This window comes from Homo sapiens, chromosome 12 (assembly GCF_000001405.40).
Source record: "Homo sapiens chromosome 12, GRCh38.p14 Primary Assembly".
NCBI classification, from domain to species: domain Eukaryota; kingdom Metazoa; phylum Chordata; class Mammalia; order Primates; family Hominidae; genus Homo; species Homo sapiens.
In genome coordinates, this window is record NC_000012.12 from 944447 (window position 1) to 963339 (window position 18893).

Below are 18893 nucleotides of genomic sequence, written 5' to 3' on the forward strand. Positions count from 1 at the left end.
AGGGGTCAAGGCTGCAGTGAGCCATGATCATACCACTACACTCCAGCCTGGGCAACAGAGGAAGACCCTGTCTCAAAAAAGAAAGAAAGAAATTAAATATGTATCTGTCATATGATCCCAAAATTCTGATAGGTGTTTTCCCAGAGGAAATAAAAACATGGTAAAAAAAAAAAAAAAAAAAACTCAGGGGTAGAAGGGAGAGAGCCTGGACTAGGATAGTGGCTATGGCAAGAAATCATGAATTCAAGATATTAAAAAGGTAAAGACTGGCAAAGATGTTTTATTCTTCTCCATTTCCTTATCACCTAAAAGCATTTTTCTTTCTTTTTTTTTTTTTTTGAGGAGTCTCACACTGTTGCCCAAGCTGCAGTGCAATGGCACAATCTCGGCTCACAAAACCATTTCTTATTATATGTGGAGGGCTGAAGAAGCATGTCAGGTGGACTCTGGATATACAGATCAAGAGGGAGATGTGACAAGGTGATGGGTGAGATTCTGACTGTGAAGGTCAAGAACGGCTTGATGAACAAGACTGGAGCAAGTTTCTTTTATTTTCATTTATGAACACAGTACTATAATGTTCATGAAACTTTAAAAAAATTAGCAAAAGTAGAAAAAAAGTGGCCAGGCACGGTGGCTCACATCTGTAATCTCAGCACTTTGGAAGGCCAATGCAGACAGATCACCTGAGGTCAGGAGTTCAAGACCAGCCCGGCTAACATGATGAAACCTCTTCTCTACTAAAGATACAAAAATTAGCTGGGCATGGTGGCAGGTGCCTGTAATCTCAGCTCCTCAGGAGGCTAAGGCACAAGAATCGCTTGAATCCAGGAGGCGAAGGTTGCAGTGAGCCAAGATCGCACCACTGCACTCTAGCCTGAGCAAGAGTGAGACTCTGTCTCAAAAAAAAAAAGTAGAAAAAAAATTTTTAATTGAAATCTCAAAATGTCATTACCTCTAAAGCCTTATGCAGCTCACCACACTCTGAAGTATGTCTTTTTTTTTTTGAGGGGGAGACACTCTGTTGCCCAGGCTGGAGTACAGTGGCGCAATCTCAGCTCACTGCAACCTCCACCTCCCAGGTTCAAGTGATTCTGGTGCCTCAGCCTCCTGAGTAGCTGGAACTACAGGCATGCGCGACCACACCCAGCTAATTTTCTGTACTTTTAGTAGAGGCAGGGGTTTCACCATGTTGGCCAGGCTGGTCTCGAACTCCTGACCTCAGGTGATCTGCCCACCTCGGCCTCCCAAAATGCTGGGATTACAGGCATAAGCCACCACACCTGGCCTGAAGTAAGTCTTAAAATTTGTGGGAACCCAGTAATCCCAGCACTTTGGGAGGCCGAGGCAGGCAGATCATGAGGTCAGGAGTTCGAGACCAGCCCGGCCAACATGGTGAAACTCCGTCTCTACTAAAAATACAAAAATTAGCTGGGCACGGTGGCGGGTACCTGTAATCCCAGCTACTCGGGAGGTTGAGGCAGGAGAATCGCTTGAACCTGGGAGACGGAGGTTGCAGTGAGCCGAGATCACGCCACCGCACTCCAGCCTGGGCGACAAGAGTGAAACTCCGTCTCAAAAAAAACAAAAAAACACGGTGGGAACATAGGATTAATTCCCTCACACTGATCATTTCTCTGCACTCCCACACTCAGCCATTAGAGAACTGCGGGGCCATACACTAATCACTGAATCCCCAACACTCAGCACAGTCCCCACTCAGCACATAGTATGAAGAGCATTTTAGCCTTATTTTAGCTTCTCTCCACATCAAAACTGCCAGTTCAATATTAAAAATGAGTGCCTTGAGTGAAGAAATGCTAAAAGCTGCAGAGATGGAAAAATATCCACTAGGCTTTCTGCCCTTGAAGCACTACTGAGACAGTCAGTTCTCATTATTCAGGGTAGTTATGTCCTGTAAAGCCATCATGAACACTGAACTAGCAAATACTGAGCCACTGCTCCCAGGGGAAATACAGGGTTACTCAACAGGCCAATACATAACCTTGTTTTATGTGTGCTTCTGTTTAAAGATATCTTATTTAATATATATTGTTGATGCAGTAACATGAACTCACAGCCAACAACAAAAGTGATGCCTGAACAAAGCTAATCTAAAAGCTTATCTTTTCTCTATAAGATATATCACAGCCTTCAACTTGGAAATGCTAGACAGCACTTCTATTCTTGGAGGCCCCTATAAACAGCAAAATCACCAAAAGCACAAAAATACAAAAAAACATGGCACTACGTATACAGCCAAAATAACACTTATGAACAGTTTTAGAGCTGAAACAGGAAGGCAGAGTGTCACCTTATTTGAACATAGCTGGGAAAGCATACAGTGGGTGACTCAAAATTTTTCACAACTAGTCTCTCCCACAGCTAGCTCAGTTACATTTTTCATACACTCATCTCCAACTACACCGTTTATACTACAAGATAACACGTTTTGGTGTACATTACACAACAGCAATCTCTGACGGTTTCTGCCTCCCTGAGAAGACCAGCACACAAACATTTCTCTGCTTGATACCACGATAATTAACGGCCTGGTAAGTGGTGAACTGAGAATAGAACACTTTAAAAAACACTCCCAGAGGGGCGCAGTGGCTCACGCCTGTAATCCCAACACTTTGGGAGGCCAAGGCGGGAGGATCACCTGAGGTAGGGAGTTCGAGACCAGCGTAACCAACATGGAGAAACCCCTTCTCTACTAAAAATACAAAATTAGCCGGGTGTGGTGGTGCACACCTGTAATCCCAGCTACTCGGGAGGCTGAGGCAGGAGAATCGCTTGAATCCAGGAGGCAGAAGTGGCAGTGAGTCAAGATCTCGCCACTGCAGTCCAGCCTGGGCAACAAGAGCGAAACTCTGTCCCCCCAAAAAAACAACAGACAAACAAAAAAACAAAACTCCCGCCCAGGTGTGGTGGCTCACACCTGTAATCCCAGCACTTTGGGAGGCCGAGGCGGGTGGATCACCTGAGGTCAGGAGTTTGAGACCAGCATTGCCAACACGGTGAAACCCTGTCTCTACTAAAAATACCAAAAATTAGCCTGGCATAGTGGCATGCGCCTGTAAGCCCAGTTACCGAGGAGGCTGAGAGAAACTCTGTCCCCCCAAAAAACAACAGACAAACAAAAAAACAAAACTCCCACCCAGGCGCGGTGGCTCACACCTGTAATCCCAGCACTTTGGGAGGCCGAGATGGGTGGATCACCTGAGGTCAGGAGTTCGAGACCAGCATGGCCAACATGGTGAAACCCTGTCTCTACTAAAAATACCAAAAATTAGCCGGGCATAGTGGCATGCGCCTGTAAGCCCAGTTACCGAGGAGGCTGAGATAGGAGAAGCGCTTGAACCCAGGAGGTGAGGTTGCAGTGAGCCCAGATACGCCATTGCACTCCACCCTGGGCAACAAGAGTGAAACTTCATCTCAAAAAAAAAAAAAAAACAAAAAAAAAACTGCCCTAAACGATACCAGACCTGAGGCCACTGAATTACCTGACCCAACCCAAGAGTTAAATGCTAGTTTCCAAAAACTTAAGTTTTAAATGTCTGTGCCTCAGACTGCGAGTTCTGTGGAGGACTAGACCTAGAAAGCCTAGAAAATCACCAGTATCCATCAAAAATGGAGAAACAAAATGTGGTATATCCACACAATAAATAATTCAGTTATTTAAAAAATGAAGTTGATACATGCTACATACAACATAGATGGACTTTGAATCATGAAGTGAAATAAACCAAACACAAAAGAACAAATATTGTATAATACAGTACTGAGAATGGGTAAATTCATAGATTAGTGCTGCTGGGAGTAGGAGGAAATAATGGGTGTCTGCTAATGGTTTTAAGGTTTCTTTTAGGGATGATAAAAATGTTCTGGAATTAGATAATAGTGGTGATTGCACAACCTTGTGAATATATTAAAACCACTGAATTGCACACTTTAAAAGGGTGAATTTAGACTGGGTGTGGTGGCTCACACCTGTAATCCCTGAACTTTGGAAGGGCGAGGAGTTCGAGACCAGCCTAACCAACATGGTGAAAAATACAAAGTAGCTGGGTGTGGTGGTATGCGCCTGTAATTCCAGCTACTTGAGAGGCTGAAGCAAAGAATCGCTTGAACCCAGGAGGCGGACGTTGCAGTGAGCCGAGACGGCGCCACTGTACTCCAGCCTGGGCAACAGAGCGAGACTATGTCTCCACTTTTTTTTAAAAAAGGGAGTGAATTTAATTGTACGTGAATTATAACTTTTTTTTTTTTGGATGGATTCTCGCTCTGTCCCCCAGGCTGGAGTGCAGTGGTGCGATGTCGGCTTACCGGCACACCTGCCTACTGGGTTCAAGCGATTCTCATGCCTCCGCCTCCCGAGTAGCGGGGATTACAGGCGCCCGCCACCAGGCCTGCCTAGTTTTGTATTTTTAGTAGAGACGGGGTTTCGCTATGTTAGCCAGGCTGGCGTAGAACTCCTGGCCTCAAGCGATCCTCCCGCATCGGCCTTCCAAAGTTCTGGGATTACAGGTGTGAGACGCCGCGCCAGACCTCTATCTCAATGTTATAACAAGGCTCAATACTCAGCTAAAGTGAGCGTCAAATTTTTATTTTTATTTTTTCCCCCGTGACAGGGTCTCGCTCTGTCGCCCGGGACGGAGTGTCGTGGTACGGGTGCGATCTCGGCTCACTGCAGGCTTGACCTCCAGGGAACATGGGGGCATGCCGCCACCATGCCCGGCGTCAAATTCCTTTTAAATCAATCATTTCTTCCCAGCGTCCCCCGCTCCCTGCAACTCAACTTCGTTTAGCTATTAACACAAACTTCAGATTCCCCACGCCTGTCTGCAGGCAGCATCTCCAAGGAAGCGCCACCACGGACACCTGGCTGTCCGCACCGCGGTGGGGTCCCGGCGCGTTGGTGCCAAGTTTCCTGTACCCCGCCTTCCTACCCACCTCTCGGGAGGCCCGGATACTGAGCCCCTCACTGCACTGGTGAACTAGAACAGGCCTCTGGACTCAGCATCTCTACGCTGAGACCTCAGGATCAGGTCCACCGCAGCCCCAGGTTCTCGACCCGGAAGCTGAGCCTTCCCACGCTCCACACCCACGGCTAGAACCACCCCGGGGGAAGCCGCTCTCCTCCCCCACTTACGCGCCTCGGGCAGCGCGCGGTGCACACAGGGAGCTCGATCTAGGCTATGGACAAGGGGAAGAGATCTTAGATGGAGGCCGCGCAGAGGAGAATGGGAAGGGTGCGCGAGCGTCTCTGGGAAGAAGGTCCGAACCCACGCCCAGCGCCGGAGGGGGAAAAAAAAAAACACAGACCAGAGAAGGAACCGTAAATCAAGTCGGAGGGGAAAAGAGCCGCAAAGCCTTCTGCGGCAGCCGTAAAGCAACCTGGAGGCGCGGTGCTGGCTTTTACGTTCTGAGCCGCTCGCCCTGCCGCTTCCCTGCGCGCCCTCTGCCTCCTACTTCCCGCCAGCTTCCCTCGGTCCGCGGCCGTCGGATCTCTGCTGCCCCCTGGTGGGCCTGGCGGTTTCGTCAGGCCTTCAGCGGCTAGTTAGGCCCGGGTGGTTCACACTTCACATGCCCAGTGCCCATTAGGATGCGGGGCCCGCCCACCCATGCACAATTGGGAAAATCTGAGGATGAATGGTTGTCAGAGACCTTCCCAGATTCCGCCCGGGCCGAGGCAGCGGTGGACCTGGTGGTTCTCGCGGCCTCTCACCACCGCCGCGCACATCCAGTCGTCACCGGATGGCGCCTTCGGTTAGCGACGACCGCAGGGAAATGGAGAAGTGCGGCTTGGGGGGCGAAGTCCCCTCTAGAATGTCCCCTGGGGCCGGGCGTGGTGGCTCAGGCCTGTAATCCCACCACTTTGGGACGCCGAGGCGGGCTGATCACGAGGTCAGGAGTTCGAGACCAGCCTGGGCAACATGGCGAAACCCTGTCTCTACTAAAAATACAAAAAATTAGCCGGGCGTGGTGGCGGGCGCCTGTAGTCCCAGCTACTCGGGAGGCTGAGGTAGGAGAATGGCGTGAACCCCGGGGGACGGAGCCTGCAGTGAGCCGAGATCGCCCCACTGCACTCCAGCCTGGGCGACAGAGCGAGGCTCCGTCTCAAAAAAAAAAAAAAAAGTTTTTGTAGCGACAGGGTCTTGCTATGTTGCCCAGGCTGGTCTTGAACTCCTCGCCTCAAGTGATCCTCTTGCCTCAGCCTCCCAAAGTGCTAGGATTACAGGTATGAGCCACTGCACCTAGCCCACTTATCATTCTTTTTGTGGCGAGATATTTTCAACTTACTCTCTTAGAAATTTTGAAATATACAATAAATTATTATTAACTATAGTCACTATGCTGTGCAATAAATCTCAAAATTGTATTCCTCCTGTTTAACTGTTAACTTTGTACCCTGAGACCAACATCTTCATCTCCCCATTATCTCCCCCAGCCCCTTATTCCCCAGCCTCTGGGGAATTTTTAGTAGAGACAGGGTTTCTCCATGTTGGTCAGGCTGGTCTCGAACTCCCAACCTCAGGTGATCTGCTCACCTCAGCCTCCCAAAGTGCTGGGATTACAGGTGTGAGCCACTGTGCCCAGCCAATATTGAGCATTTTTATGAACCTGTTGATCATTTGTATGTCATCTTTTGATAAATGATTTTTTTTTTAAAGAGTCAGGGTCTCAAGCTATCAAGCTGTTGCCCAGACTGTACTGCAGTGCTGCAATCATGGCTCACTGCAACCTCTAACTCCTGGGCTCAAGTGATCCTCCCACCTCAGCTTCCCAGGTAGCTGGGACTACAAGCATATGTCACCACACCTGGCTAATCTAAAATTTTTTTGTAGAGACAAGGTCTTTCTATGTTGTCCAGGCTTTTCACAACTCCTGGCCTCAAGCAATTCTCCTGTCTCAGCCTTCCAAAGCACTGGGATTACAGGTGTAAACCAGTGCACCTGGTGCCCTTTGCCCCCTTTTTAGTCGTGTGATCTGATTTTGCTATGAGTTGTTTGCTTTCTTCACATATTTAGAATAGGATAGTAACCCCTTATTGGATATATGGTTTGCAAATATTTTCTCTCACTCTGTTGTTTTCTTTGTTGTGTCCTTTCATTTCTGATTTTGGTAATTTGTGTCCTCTCCTTTTTTCACTAGTCCAGCTAGATGTTTATTAATTTTACCTGTCTTTTCAAAGAACCAGCTCATGGTTTTATTAATTACTACAATTGTTTTTCCATTTGTTTGTTTCACTGATTTTCATTGTTATCTTCATCACTTCCTTTCTTCTGCTCACTTTAGGTTTACTTTACTTTTCTTTCTTTTTGTTTCTTATGATTTTAACCTTTTTTTGTTTTAAGTAAAGGCATTTAAACTATTAAACTATAAATTTTCCTCTAAGAACTCCTTTAGCTGAATTTTATAAATTCTGAAACATAATTTTTGGGGTAAATGTATTTTAAAGTTACCTACCTGCATGTTATTGTATATATTATATTGTTTTCTTTTTTTTTATGAAAAACTTTTTTTTCTAAGAGACAGCACCTCACTCTGCTGCCCAGGCTATGGTGCAGTGGCACGGTCATAGCTCGCTATAACCTCAAATGCCTGGGCTCAAGTGATCCTCCTGCTTCAGTCTCCTAAGTAGCTAGGATTACAGAGGCTACATGCCCAGCTAAGTAAAAAAACATTTTTTTGGTGGAGGCAGGGTCTTGCTATGTTGCTCAGGCTGGTCTTGAACTCCTAGCCTCAAGCAATTCTCCCACCTTGGCCTCCCAAAGTGCTGGAACTGCAGGTGCATGACACTATGCCTGGCTAATTAAAAAAATTTTTTTTAGAGAGGGGTTCTTACTATGTTTCTCAGGCTTGTCTTAAACTCCAGGGCTCAAGCAATCCTCCTGCCTCAGCCTCCTGAGTAGCTGGGACTACAGGTGCTCACCACCATGCTCAGCTCTAAAAACTACATTTTAAAAATAGTTCCTGCTATTCTTTGTTGTGGGTTGAATTGTGTTCCTCAAAAAGACAGGTAGAAATTATAACCTCCAGTACTTGTGAATGTGACCTTAATTAGAGAGGGGTCTTTGTAGATGTAATCAAGTAGGATGAGGTCATACTCAATTCAGGATAGACCCTCTTCAATATAATTGCTGTTATAAGAAAACAGGCTGGGTTCGGTGCCTCACACCTCCCAACACTTTGGGAGGTCAAGACGAGAGGATCGCCTTGACCAGCCTGGCCAGTTCGAGATCAGCCTGGCCAACACGGTAAAACCCCGTCTCTACTAAAAATACAAAAATTAGCTGGGCATGGTGGTGGGTGCCTGTAATCCCAGCTACTTGGGAGGCTGAGGCAGGAGAATTGCTTGAACCTGGAAGGTGGAGTTTGCAGTGAGCCGAGATATAGTCATTGCACTTGAGCCTGGGCGACAAGAACAAAACTCTGTCTCAAAAGAAAGGGAACGGAAGAGAAGGGAAGGGAGGGGAAGGGGAGGGGAGGGGAGGGGAAGGGGGAAGGGAAAAGGGGAAGGGGAAGGGAGGGGAGGGGGGAGAGGGGGAGGGGAGGGGGAGGGAGGGAAGGGAGACGCCCGGGCCAGGTGGCTCACACCTGTAATCCCAGCACTTTGGGAGGGGGGCGGATCACTTGAGGTCAGGAGTTTGAGACCACCCTGGCCAGCATGTTGAAACCCCGTCTTTACTAAAAATACAAACATTAGCTGGGGATGGTGGCACATACCTTTAATCTCAGCTACTCGGGAGGCTGAGGCAAGAGAATTGTTTGAACCCGGAAGTGGAGGTTGCAGTGAGCCAAGATTGTGCCATTGCACTCCAGCCTGAGCGACAGAGTGAGACTCAGTCTCAAAAAAAATAAAAATAAAAATAAGAAAACAGAGACAAAGACAGAAGGAAGGCAGCCCTCTGAAGATGGAGGCAGAGATTGCAGTCATTATGCCAGAAGCCAAAGAACATGAGGCCACCGGAAACTGGAAGAGGCAAGGAAGTATCCTCCCCTGCTGTGAGAGCAAGCTGTCATTACTTAGTCAAATAAAGTGTATGTCTACGACCCAGTGATTCCACTCCTGTGTACAAAAAGTCCTCATACAATTTACGAAGGGACATACATGAACATATCCACTGTAGTATTATTTACTTCATAACATGGCCGTGCCAAGTTCTTTAATCTGGGACTTAGAGCCTCAAGAACTGAGAGAAGCTAAATTTCTGATGTTTTAAGCCACCCAGTTGTGGTAATTTGTTACAATGGCTTTAGGAAACTAACACAATGTGATTTCTAATCCATCGTGCCTGCCTGCCACAGCATTTCCCATGGTGTACATCCACCATATTTCGCCCATCTACCTTCCCCACTGTGAACATCATAAATAATACTACAGTGAACATATTCCTACATGTTCCTTTATAAACTGTGTGAGAGCGTTCCGTACACACAGCAGTGGAACCGTTGGGTGACAGACGTCTATTTTATTTGCCTGAGTAATGACAGCTTGCTCTCCACCGCCCTTGCATGAGGGTTCCTGTATGTCCACACCCCTGCCAATTCTTGACATCATGCTGATTCACAACTTTCGGCAGTGTAATGAGTGTGAAATGTTATCTTTTTTAAAAAAATTATATTTCTGATTACTAATGATTTTAAGCACTTCCTGTGCATGCTCAGTTTTTGGTTTTCTGGTTTTTTAATTGGCTGTTCATATCATTCACCCATTTCTGTATGTAGTCATTACCTTTTTCTTGTTGATGTGAAGGTATTCTTTGAAATTCTAGATATTAATCTCTTGTCAGATTTTGACTTTGTAAATATCTTCTCTTACTCTGTTAGCTGCTTATTAACTTTGTCCATAGTGTCATTTCCTAAACAGAAATCCTTAAATTTTTTACAATAACAGGCTGGGCGCGGTGGCTCACGCCTGTAATCCCAGCACTTTGGGAGGCCGAGGTGGGTGGATCACTTGAGGTCAGGAGTTTGAGACCAGCCTGGCCAACATGACAAAACCCTGTCTCTACAAAAAATACAAAAATTAGCCAGGTGTGGTGACACGCACCTGTAATCCCAGCTACTCGGGAGGCTGAGAGGCATGAGACTTGCTTGAACCCGGGTGGTGGAGGTTGCATTGAGCTGAGATCGTGCTGCTGCACTACAGCTTGGGCGACAGAGCAAGACTTCATCCCCCACCCCCCAAAAAATGTAATAACAGTCATAGATATTTTTCCTTATTGATTAATCCTTTTAAAATTGTATTTAAAATCTCTTTCTGGTTGTAGGTTGCAAAAATACTGACTTACATTTTTCTATCAAAATTCTAAATTAAGCCTTGATAGAGTACTCTTTTTAATTGGATCTTTCATTTAGAATTTTCCTTGATACATGGCATTGGTTAGGGATACATTAGGGACATATCTAAAGCATTCCAGTTATGCAACTTTTTAATTCTGTGACCAGTGAGGAAAGGGGATTCTTTTCCCTAGATCCAATTTGAAAAATTACAGAGAAAGACTCTGACTCACTGGATTGGGTTGCATGCCCATTATTATGGCCCAATTAGCAAGATGCCTTACTAAGTGCTAGGCAGACAAAACAATATTCACTACAGGGGTGATAAGGTAAATAAACACATTAATTAGAATTTAAAGGTAAGTATTCTTAAGGATTTAAGAGGTGGGACAATTGCACCCTATTGGGGGAACCACATAATTCTTCATGACAGAAATGACATTTTCAATAGACTGCCAAGTATGGGTAAGATTTATATGCATACAAAATCCTATGTATGATGACTTCTAAATAGAGGACAAAGCATAAGTAAGAATGCAAGGGCAAGAAATTAAGAGTATGTTTACAGTATAATCCAATTTGAATGAACCACAGGATATAGGAAGGTTTAGTGTGTGCCGACTGTGTAAAGATATCTGTAGAAGATACAGTGATGCTTAGTCAATGGCCATGACCCCAACCCATTATCTTGCTAACAGAACCCTGATTTGGGACAGCAACGTACTGTTCTTCTTCTTCTTTCTTTTTTTTTTTTTGAGACGGAGTCTCACTCTGTCGCCCAGGCCATAGTGCAGTGGCGCAATCTCAACTCACTGCAACCTCTGCCTCCCAGGTTCAAGCAGTTCTCCAGCCTCAGCCTCCCGAGTAACTGGGACTACAGGCACACGCCACCACGCCCAGCTAATTTTTTGTATTTTTGTTAGAGACGGGGTTCACCATATTGGCCAGGCTGGTCTCGAGCTCCTGACCTTGTGATCCGCCTGCCTCGGTCTCCCAAAGTGCTGGGGTTACAGGTGTGAGCCACTGCACCTGGGCATTTTTGTTTTTTTTGTTTTTTTTTGAGATGGAGTCTTGCTCTGTTGCGCCCAGGCTGGAGTGCAGTGGCACCATCTCGGCTCACTGCAACCACCACCTCCCAGGTTCAAGCAATTCTCCTGCCTTAGCCTCCCTAGTAGCTGGGATTACAGGCATGCGCCACCATGCCCGGCTAATTTTTGCATTTTTAGTAGAGAGAGGGTTTCACCATGTTGGCTGCCCAGCCCAATGTACTCTTCTGTAGAGCTTAAATCTGGATTGATCTAAGTTCATTGTAGCAATTTACTTCCCTTTGCCTGCTACTCCCCTTCCTATACTCCCTTGAACAAGGGGCAGCCACATGACTCAGCTCTGGCCAATAGAATGCAAGTGGAAGTCTTCTGGGAACTTTTTTGTTCATCCTCTTCTGTTTAGCACTACGACAGCCATCTTCCAACGCAATAAGCAGGGACAAGAAAATTTCAGAAGCCAACCCATAATTCTGACGTCGTTAGAACCAGGTTCAGCCTCTGAACCTGTCGTATAGGCCTCAGCACTTAGAACAACCCTGTGCTTGGTTCAATGTTCTATGCTGCTATAAGTTATTAATCATTTTTAACAAGGGGCCCTGTTTTATTATTTTGCATTGGGCCCCACAAATTGTATAGCTACTCCTGATAGGAACCACAGTGCAAATTCTGGAATCTCTTATTTCTAATCCTTTTGTTAACAGTAAATATCCTTATGGATGAAAACACTGTTGATTGGGTTTTCTGTTACTTATAGCTAAACACATTCTGTTTTGTTTTGTTTTGAGACAGAATCTTGCTGCTTGACTCAGGCTGGAGTGCAGTGGTGTGATATTGGCTCACTGCAACCTCCGTCTCCCGGGCTCAAGCGATCTTCCTGCCTCAGCCTCCCAAGTAGCTGGGATTATAGGCACCCGCCACCACACCTGGCTAATTTTTGTATTTTTAGTAGAGACAGGGTTTCACCATGTTGGCCAGGCTGGTCTTGAACTCCTGACCTCAGGTTATCTGCCTACCTCGGCCTCCCAAAGTGCTGGGATTACAGGCGTGAGCCACCGCGCCTGGCCCCATTTCCATATTCTTAAAGTGAGAATAAATAACATCTACTAGTTAGAGTTGTGGGAAGATTAGATGAGTTATAAGATTATAGTTATTAGATGAGATATAAAGCACACAATATCTGACATTTAATAGATGTTTCTGTAATGTTAATTGCATTCTTTTTCACTTCCACACCTTACAATGAACCCACCTGATAAAAGGAGAGAAGCATAAAAATTCCATGCAGACAAAAGTCCTTATCTGGGCCAACTACCTTCAGATTTCAGTTGTTTAAAAAAGCCAAATAAGAAAAGAAGGAAATAAAATTTTCACTTATTAAGAATTACCATTTTGAGGCTGGGTGCAGTGGCTCATGCCTATATTCCCAGCACTTTGGGAGGCCGAGGCAGGTGGATCATCTGAGGTCAGGAGTTCGAGACTAGCCTGGCCAACATGGTGAAACCCCGTCTCTACTAAAAATACAAAAAAACAATTAGCTGGGCGTGGTGGTGGGCGCCTGTAATCCCAACTACTCGGGAGGCTGAGGCAGGAGAATCGCTTAAGCCCGGGAGGCGGAGGAGGTTGCAGTGACCCAAGATCATGCCATTGCGCTCCAGCCTAGGCAACAAGAGTAAAACTTCGTCTCAAAAAAAAAAAAAAAAAAAAAAAAGAATTGTCATTTTGTATGGGCACGGTGGCTCATGCCTGTAATCTCAGCAGTTTGGGAGGCCAAGGCGGGTCAATCACTTGAGTCCAGGAGTTCGAGATCATCCTGGGCAACATAGTGAGAACCCATCTCTGCTAAAAATACAAAACAATTTTAGCTGGCTGTGGTGGCACACACCTGTGGTCCCAGCTACTTTGGAGGCTGAAGCACAAGAATCACTTGAGCCCAGGAGGCGGAGGTTGCAGTGAGTGGAGATCGCGCCACTGCACTCCAGCCTGGGCAATAGAGTGAGGCCCTATCTCAAAAATAAATAAATAATAAAAAACAAAAAAAGAATTGCCATTTGGCTTAGGCATTAGCCAAAATGGGCTTTACGCATATTAATTTCCTACTTTGTTACCAGGAATATTTTTCTGGAGATGGAATCATCATTTGTTTTGCTGAATCTCGTTGTGGGCAGTGCTCACCAGGGCGGTCTCGCCCCTGCACCTGTGGCAAGAGCCAGTGGCTTGACTGGGGGCTGCAGGATCTGTTCTTCAGGATGGCTCACTCGCGTGGCCAGCAAGGAGGTGCTGCTCCCAGCCCAGAGGTAAGGGGGCTCCGGGGCTGGGAGGAACATGGGGCTCCTCTCCATGTGGGCCTCTCCGCAGACGGGATTTCTCAGGGTGCATGACTGAGTTCTAAGAGTGAGCATTCCGGGAGAATGTCAGAAAGCTGTATTGCCTTCTATTTTATTTTATTTTTTGAGACAGGGTTTCGCTTTTGTCGCCCAGGCTGGAGTGCAATGGCCAGATCTTGGCTCACTGCAAACTCGGCCTCCTGGGTTCAAGCCATTCTCCTGCCTCAGCCTCCCAAGTAGCTGGGATTATAAGCGCTCGCCACCATACCCGGTTAATTTTTGTATTTTTAGTAGAGACGGGGTTTCACCATGTTGGCCAGGCTGGTCTCGAACTCCTGACCTCAAGTGATCCACCCGCCTTGGCCTTCCATTGTGCTGGGATTACAGGCATGAGCCACTGTGCCCACCCAGCCTGCATTGCCTTTTATGACCTAGCCTGAGAAGAAAACATAGCCTCACCTCTCACTGGGAGACTGTTGAAGTCATGTGAAAGAAGAACATGCAGAACCAGTGCTGTTGTTACAGCCATTTTTGGAAAATGCTGCTGGCCACAGAATACTGATGGTCTGGGCCAGGCAATGAAGTGTCTGGCAGCCTATGGTGTGCTTCACGTGGAACACAGGCTGAAATGGGAAGGATCTGGGTCCTGCAGGGTGCGTGTGGCGATTCAGAGGCCCTTCTACAAGTGGCGGTGGGTGGGGCACTCAGCTAGGATGGAGGCTGGCTTGAGGAGGTTGGGGGCATTTTCCTCAAGCACCCTATGGTGGTATTAGTAACTCGGCCAGCTTCCAAATTTAGTCATAACATTGTGTGTCTTTGAATTCCCCTGCGATCCTCAGGGGATAAAGTATTCTTTCTGTTTCCTGTCCTTGGCTATTGTGTGATAGCAGCTGTACTACTGATCCAGGCGCTGTCACTCCGCCCACCAGAGAAAGGTGCATTTAGGCATATGACTTAATACTTTCACAGGAGAGTTCTAAAAAAGTAAGAATAATGCTAAGATTAACTGTTTACTCAACCGAGTGCTGAGGGCTTCCTATGCATTATCTCATTTAGTTCTCAAAAGGATTCTAAGAACCGGCACTAGTATCATCTCTATTTCACAGTTAGAAAACTGCATTTTAGAGATGTGAAGTAATTGGCAAGGTTAGGGACTCTCAAATCCAAGGCTGATTGCAGTGCCTCTTAGCTATACTACCTTATTATGGTTAAATCTATAATTTTATTCACTTAATGCATATTTATTAGCCCCTATCAGGAGTGAGCATTGTTCTAAGCACTAAGAATACATTTGTGAATGAAGGAGATAAAGTCTATACTGTCACGGAGCTTACAATAAAATAGCAGGTCACAGGTTATGGTGACGTTAAATGAGATGTTCGACAATGACTTTATGTCGATAACTGCGTGACAAGAAAAAGCCAATCATGGCTAAGGCTGGGGGAAGAGCAGTTCTGGCGGATGTTGAGATAAACTTCGTACATTTAAATTTTCAAAAGTGTATTTCAGCAGACAGTGGTTCATGAATCAGGGGGCACCAGAATCCAAGAAGTCCAGTGCTCCACTAGGGAAATGTGCAAGAGCAAAACCTTCATAAGGTGTTCTCAGAAGCAAGACAAAGACAACATATTTGATTGGTTACATTGGAAAGTCTCTAGTTAAAGGTGAGTTGGAAGTTTCTGATCAGTAAAGTCCCTAGTTAGGGTTGGTTGCTGGCTTCTGGGTGGTTAAGCTGAAGTTTCACCCTTTACATGGGCTTTAGTTTGCTTACTGAGAAACCCATGGCCCTGAAGCTGTTTCAGCCTGATGTTCTCCAAATTCAATTATTTTAACACTGGGCACAGCAAATACAAAGGTCCAGAGGTGGGAAGGAGTTTCGGTAATGGGTCAAAGGGAGATTTGTACAAGATGTAGGGAGGGAGGGCACAGGCCTTATAAGCCAGGGTAAAGATTTGGGGGTTTAAGTTTATGGGACCCCTATAAGGTGGACCATCCATAAAGGACCAAGGGCACTTTCGAGATTTCAAGCAGGGAAATGCCCTGATCTGAATAGAAACATCACTCTGGTTGTTGTACGGAGAATGGATTGTAGGGAAATGTGTGGATGCAGGGGCACCAGCTAGGAGCTGAGAGATGGTAGCTTAGTGAAGTTGGAAAGAAAATAACAGATATGGAAAATGTGTTCACAGAGAATCTATAGAGGATCCAAACTGTTGGACTTGACCATAGTTTGGATAATGGTGGTAAAGAAAGGAATCAAGGATAATACCTGGGTTTTTCACTTGAGTAACCGAGTAAATGTTGGTGTTATTTACTGAAGTAGGAAAGACAGAGGCAGGAGCAGGTTTAGAAGAAATGGAGAGGTCTGATTTTCTTGGATTTGTTTGCTTGTTCTGACACCCAGGCTGGAGCTGCACTCGATCATAGCAAACTGCAGCCTCAAACTCCTGGGCTCAAGCAATCCTCCTACCTCAGCCTTCTGAGTAGCTGGGACTATAGGCACATGCCACCACACCCTATTTTTGTTGTTGTTGTTGTTTGTAAAGACAGGGTCTTGCTATGTTGCCCAGGCTGGTCTTGAACTCTTGACCTCAAGCGATGCCCCCCTTCTTAGCCTCCCAAAGTGTTGGGATTATAGATGTGAGCCACCTTACCCAACCAAAGTTCTGTTTCAAATATGTTAATATGTTACCTGTTAGGCATCCAGATGAAAATGTCAACTTAATATGTGAATCAGAAGTCAGGACATAGAGCAGAGCAGAGCTAGAAATATACATAAAGAAGTCATTGGTACACAGATACTATCTGAAGCCATGGGAGTAGGTAAGAGTAAAGTATAAAGAGAAGGAGCCCCAACACTGAGTCCTGAGCACTCCAACACATAGAGGCAAGACAGAGAAGAAATAAGCAAAGAAAATTGAAAAAGAGGGGCCGGGTGCAGTGGCTCACACCTGTAATCCCAGCACTTTGGGAGGCAGAGGCGGGCCGATCACCTGAGGTCAGGAGTGACCAGCCTGGCCAATATGGTGAAACCCCGTACTAAAAGTACAAAAATTAGCTGGGCGTGGTGGCAGGCGCCTGTAATCCCAGCTACTTGGGAGGCTGAGGCAGGAGAATCGCTTGAACCTGGGAGGCAGAGGTTGCAGTGAGCCGAGATAGTGCCATTGCACTCCAGCCTGGGTGACAGAGTGAGACTCCATCTCAAAAAAAAAAAAAAAAAAAAAAAGGGCCAGTGAGGTAAAGAAGAAAGCCAGGAAGTTACTTGTTATGGGCTGAATTATGTTCCTCCCAAATTCATGTGTTGAACCCCTAATGTCCAATACCTCAGAATGTGACCATATTTGGAAATAGAGCATTTGAAGCCATAATTAAGTTGAAATGTTGAAATGAAGCATTAGGGTGGGCCCTAATCTAACCTGACTGGTGTCCTTAAAGGAGGAGGAAATTTTGTCACAAAGAGAGACACTATGGCTGGGCACGGTGGTGGCTCATGCCTGTATTCCCAGCACTTTGGGAGGCTGAGGTGGGTAGATTACTTGTTGCCAGGAGTTCGAGACCAGCATGGCCCACATAGCGAAACTCTGTCTTTACTAAAAATACAAAAAAATTAGCAGGGTTTGGTGGCATGCACCTGTAATCCCAGCTACTCGGGAGGTTGGAGCAGTAGACTCGGTTGAGCCTAGGAGGCAGAGGTTGCAGTAAGCCAAGATCAATCCACTGCACTGCAGCCTGGATGACAGAGTGAGACCCTGTATCTAAAAAAGAAAGAAAAAAGAGAGAGAGAGAGACACTAGAGGGATGTGCTCACACAGTGGAAAAGCCATGTGAGAAGCCACGTGAGAAGCCATGTGAGAAGGTGGCCATCTGTAAGCCAAGGAGAGATGCCTCAGGAGAAACCAAACCTGCTGACACCTTGATCTTAGACTCTAGCCTTTAGAACAAATTTCTGTTCTTAAAGCCACCCAGTCTGTAGTATTTAGTTATGGCAGCCCTAGCAAACTACTACAGTATTTTACTCCAGAAGCAGAGAGAAGAAAATGTTTCAAGTAAGATAAATGGTCTACTGTGTAGGACATTGACAAGAGGCAGGGAAAATAAAGATGGAGAAGTGACCACCAGTAAGGAACAAGATTATCTTACCAATTCTAATAAGAGCAGTTTCCTGGAAGCATGAGTAGAATCGAGAGAATGCACAATGAGGAGTTAGAGGTGGCCCCATCTGCCACGCTTTCTTTCCTTTTTTTTTTTTTTTGAGACGGAGTCTTGCTCTGTCGCCCAGGCTGGAGTGCAGTGGCCTGATCTCGGCTCACTGCAAGCTCCGCTCCCAGGTTCACACCATTCTCCTGCCTCAGCCTCCCGAGTAGCTGGGACTACAGGTGCCCGCCACCACGCCTGGCTAATTTTTTTTTTTTTTGTATTTTTAGTAGAGATAGGGTTTCATCTTGTTAGGCAGGATGGTCTCGATCTCCTGACCTTGTGATCCACCCGCCTCGGCCTCCCAAAGTGCTGGGATTACAGGCGTGAGCCACTGCACCTGGCCCAAGGAAGACATTTTTTAAGACAGATATTTGAGTATGTTTGCATGCCTTATTTATTTATTTATCTATCTATTTATTTATTTTCCTGAGGCAGGGTCTGGCTCTGTCACCCAGGCTGGAGTGCAGTGGCATGACTCAGTTTCCTGCAACTTCTACCTCCCTGGCTCTAGCCATCCTCCCACCTCAGCCTCCTGAGTAGCTGGGATCACAGGCATGTGCCACCATGCCTAATTTTTTTATACTTTTCACTTTTACATTTTAACTCTGTTGGAATTTTTTACACTTTTTATAGAGATGACGTTTTGCCATGTTGCCCAGGATAGTCTTGAACTCTTGGCTTCAAACAATCCTTCTGCCTTGGTCTCCCAGAGTGGTGGGATTACAGGTATGAGCCACTGTGCCTGGCTGCCTAATTCTTACTAGATTTAAGGAGTGTAAATGAAATACTGAAACAAAAGTAGAAGAGTAATTTTTTTTTTTGAAGAAAAGTTTTCATTTATTTAGTTAAAACTGTCTTATGCTTCCATGTGAAAAGTATGGGTGGTTTTCGTTTTGCATAGAGTGTTCTATAGCTTACTGATTCTCAATCTTTTTAGCCAAGGACTCCTGTAGCAGAGTAAACAGTGTTAATACCTCTCATTCATTCGTTCATTCATCCTTCATTAAATAAATATTTATTAATCCACTCCCATGTG

General features: G+C 45.9%; 1 protein-coding gene across 21 annotated transcripts in view, besides 7 other annotated features; it reads right to left on the reverse strand.

Moving 5' to 3' along the window:
- Positions 1 to 18893, reverse strand: part of RAD52 (RAD52 DNA repair protein) — a 79387-nt gene that overhangs the window by 32711 nt on the left and 27783 nt on the right. For 13 of the 21 annotated variants that reach the window (NR_123713.2, NM_001297421.2, XM_017019770.2 and 10 more), the window contains exon 1: positions 5156 to 5248. The exons of 3 other annotated variants lie outside the window; for them this stretch is intronic. The gene's annotated coding sequence lies outside the window, so the exon portion shown is untranslated. Of the gene's footprint in view, positions 1 to 4956; positions 5249 to 18893 lie in introns of those variants that run through there. 5 more of the 21 variants (XM_047429283.1, XM_005253721.3, XM_047429288.1 and 2 more) reach the window with 2 other exon arrangements.
- Positions 4420 to 5078: an enhancer, noted in NCBI's record as "NANOG-H3K27ac-H3K4me1 hESC enhancer chr12:1058032-1058690 (GRCh37/hg19 assembly coordinates)". NCBI's record gives its function as "activates a minimal SCP1, AML or CMV promoter by ChIP-STARR-seq in naive H9 embryonic stem cells {active_cell/tissue: H9 hESC(naive)}" and the evidence as "EXISTENCE:reporter gene assay evidence [ECO:0000049][PMID:30033119]".
- Positions 4571 to 4650: an enhancer, noted in NCBI's record as "active region_5793". NCBI's record gives its function as "activates an Ori minimal core promoter by ATAC-STARR-seq in GM12878 lymphoblastoid cells {active_cell/tissue: GM12878}" and the evidence as "EXISTENCE:reporter gene assay evidence [ECO:0000049][PMID:35858748]".
- Positions 5079 to 5737: an enhancer, noted in NCBI's record as "NANOG-H3K27ac-H3K4me1 hESC enhancer chr12:1058691-1059349 (GRCh37/hg19 assembly coordinates)". NCBI's record gives its function as "activates a minimal SCP1, AML or CMV promoter by ChIP-STARR-seq in naive H9 embryonic stem cells {active_cell/tissue: H9 hESC(naive)}" and the evidence as "EXISTENCE:reporter gene assay evidence [ECO:0000049][PMID:30033119]".
- Positions 5201 to 5470: an enhancer, noted in NCBI's record as "active region_5794". NCBI's record gives its function as "activates an Ori minimal core promoter by ATAC-STARR-seq in GM12878 lymphoblastoid cells {active_cell/tissue: GM12878}" and the evidence as "EXISTENCE:reporter gene assay evidence [ECO:0000049][PMID:35858748]".
- Positions 13817 to 14318: an enhancer, noted in NCBI's record as "H3K4me1 hESC enhancer chr12:1067429-1067930 (GRCh37/hg19 assembly coordinates)". NCBI's record gives its function as "activates a minimal SCP1, AML or CMV promoter by ChIP-STARR-seq in naive H9 embryonic stem cells {active_cell/tissue: H9 hESC(naive)}" and the evidence as "EXISTENCE:reporter gene assay evidence [ECO:0000049][PMID:30033119]".
- Positions 14060 to 14259: a silencer, noted in NCBI's record as "fragment chr12:1067672-1067871 (GRCh37/hg19 assembly coordinates)". NCBI's record gives its function as "represses an EF-1alpha promoter that drives an FKBP-Casp9 reporter gene in an ReSE screen in phorbol 12-myristate 13-acetate-treated (for megakaryocytic differentiation) K562 erythroleukemia cells {active_cell/tissue: K562(+PMA)}" and the evidence as "EXISTENCE:reporter gene assay evidence [ECO:0000049][PMID:32094911]".
- Positions 14319 to 14818: an enhancer, noted in NCBI's record as "H3K4me1 hESC enhancer chr12:1067931-1068430 (GRCh37/hg19 assembly coordinates)". NCBI's record gives its function as "activates a minimal SCP1, AML or CMV promoter by ChIP-STARR-seq in naive H9 embryonic stem cells {active_cell/tissue: H9 hESC(naive)}" and the evidence as "EXISTENCE:reporter gene assay evidence [ECO:0000049][PMID:30033119]".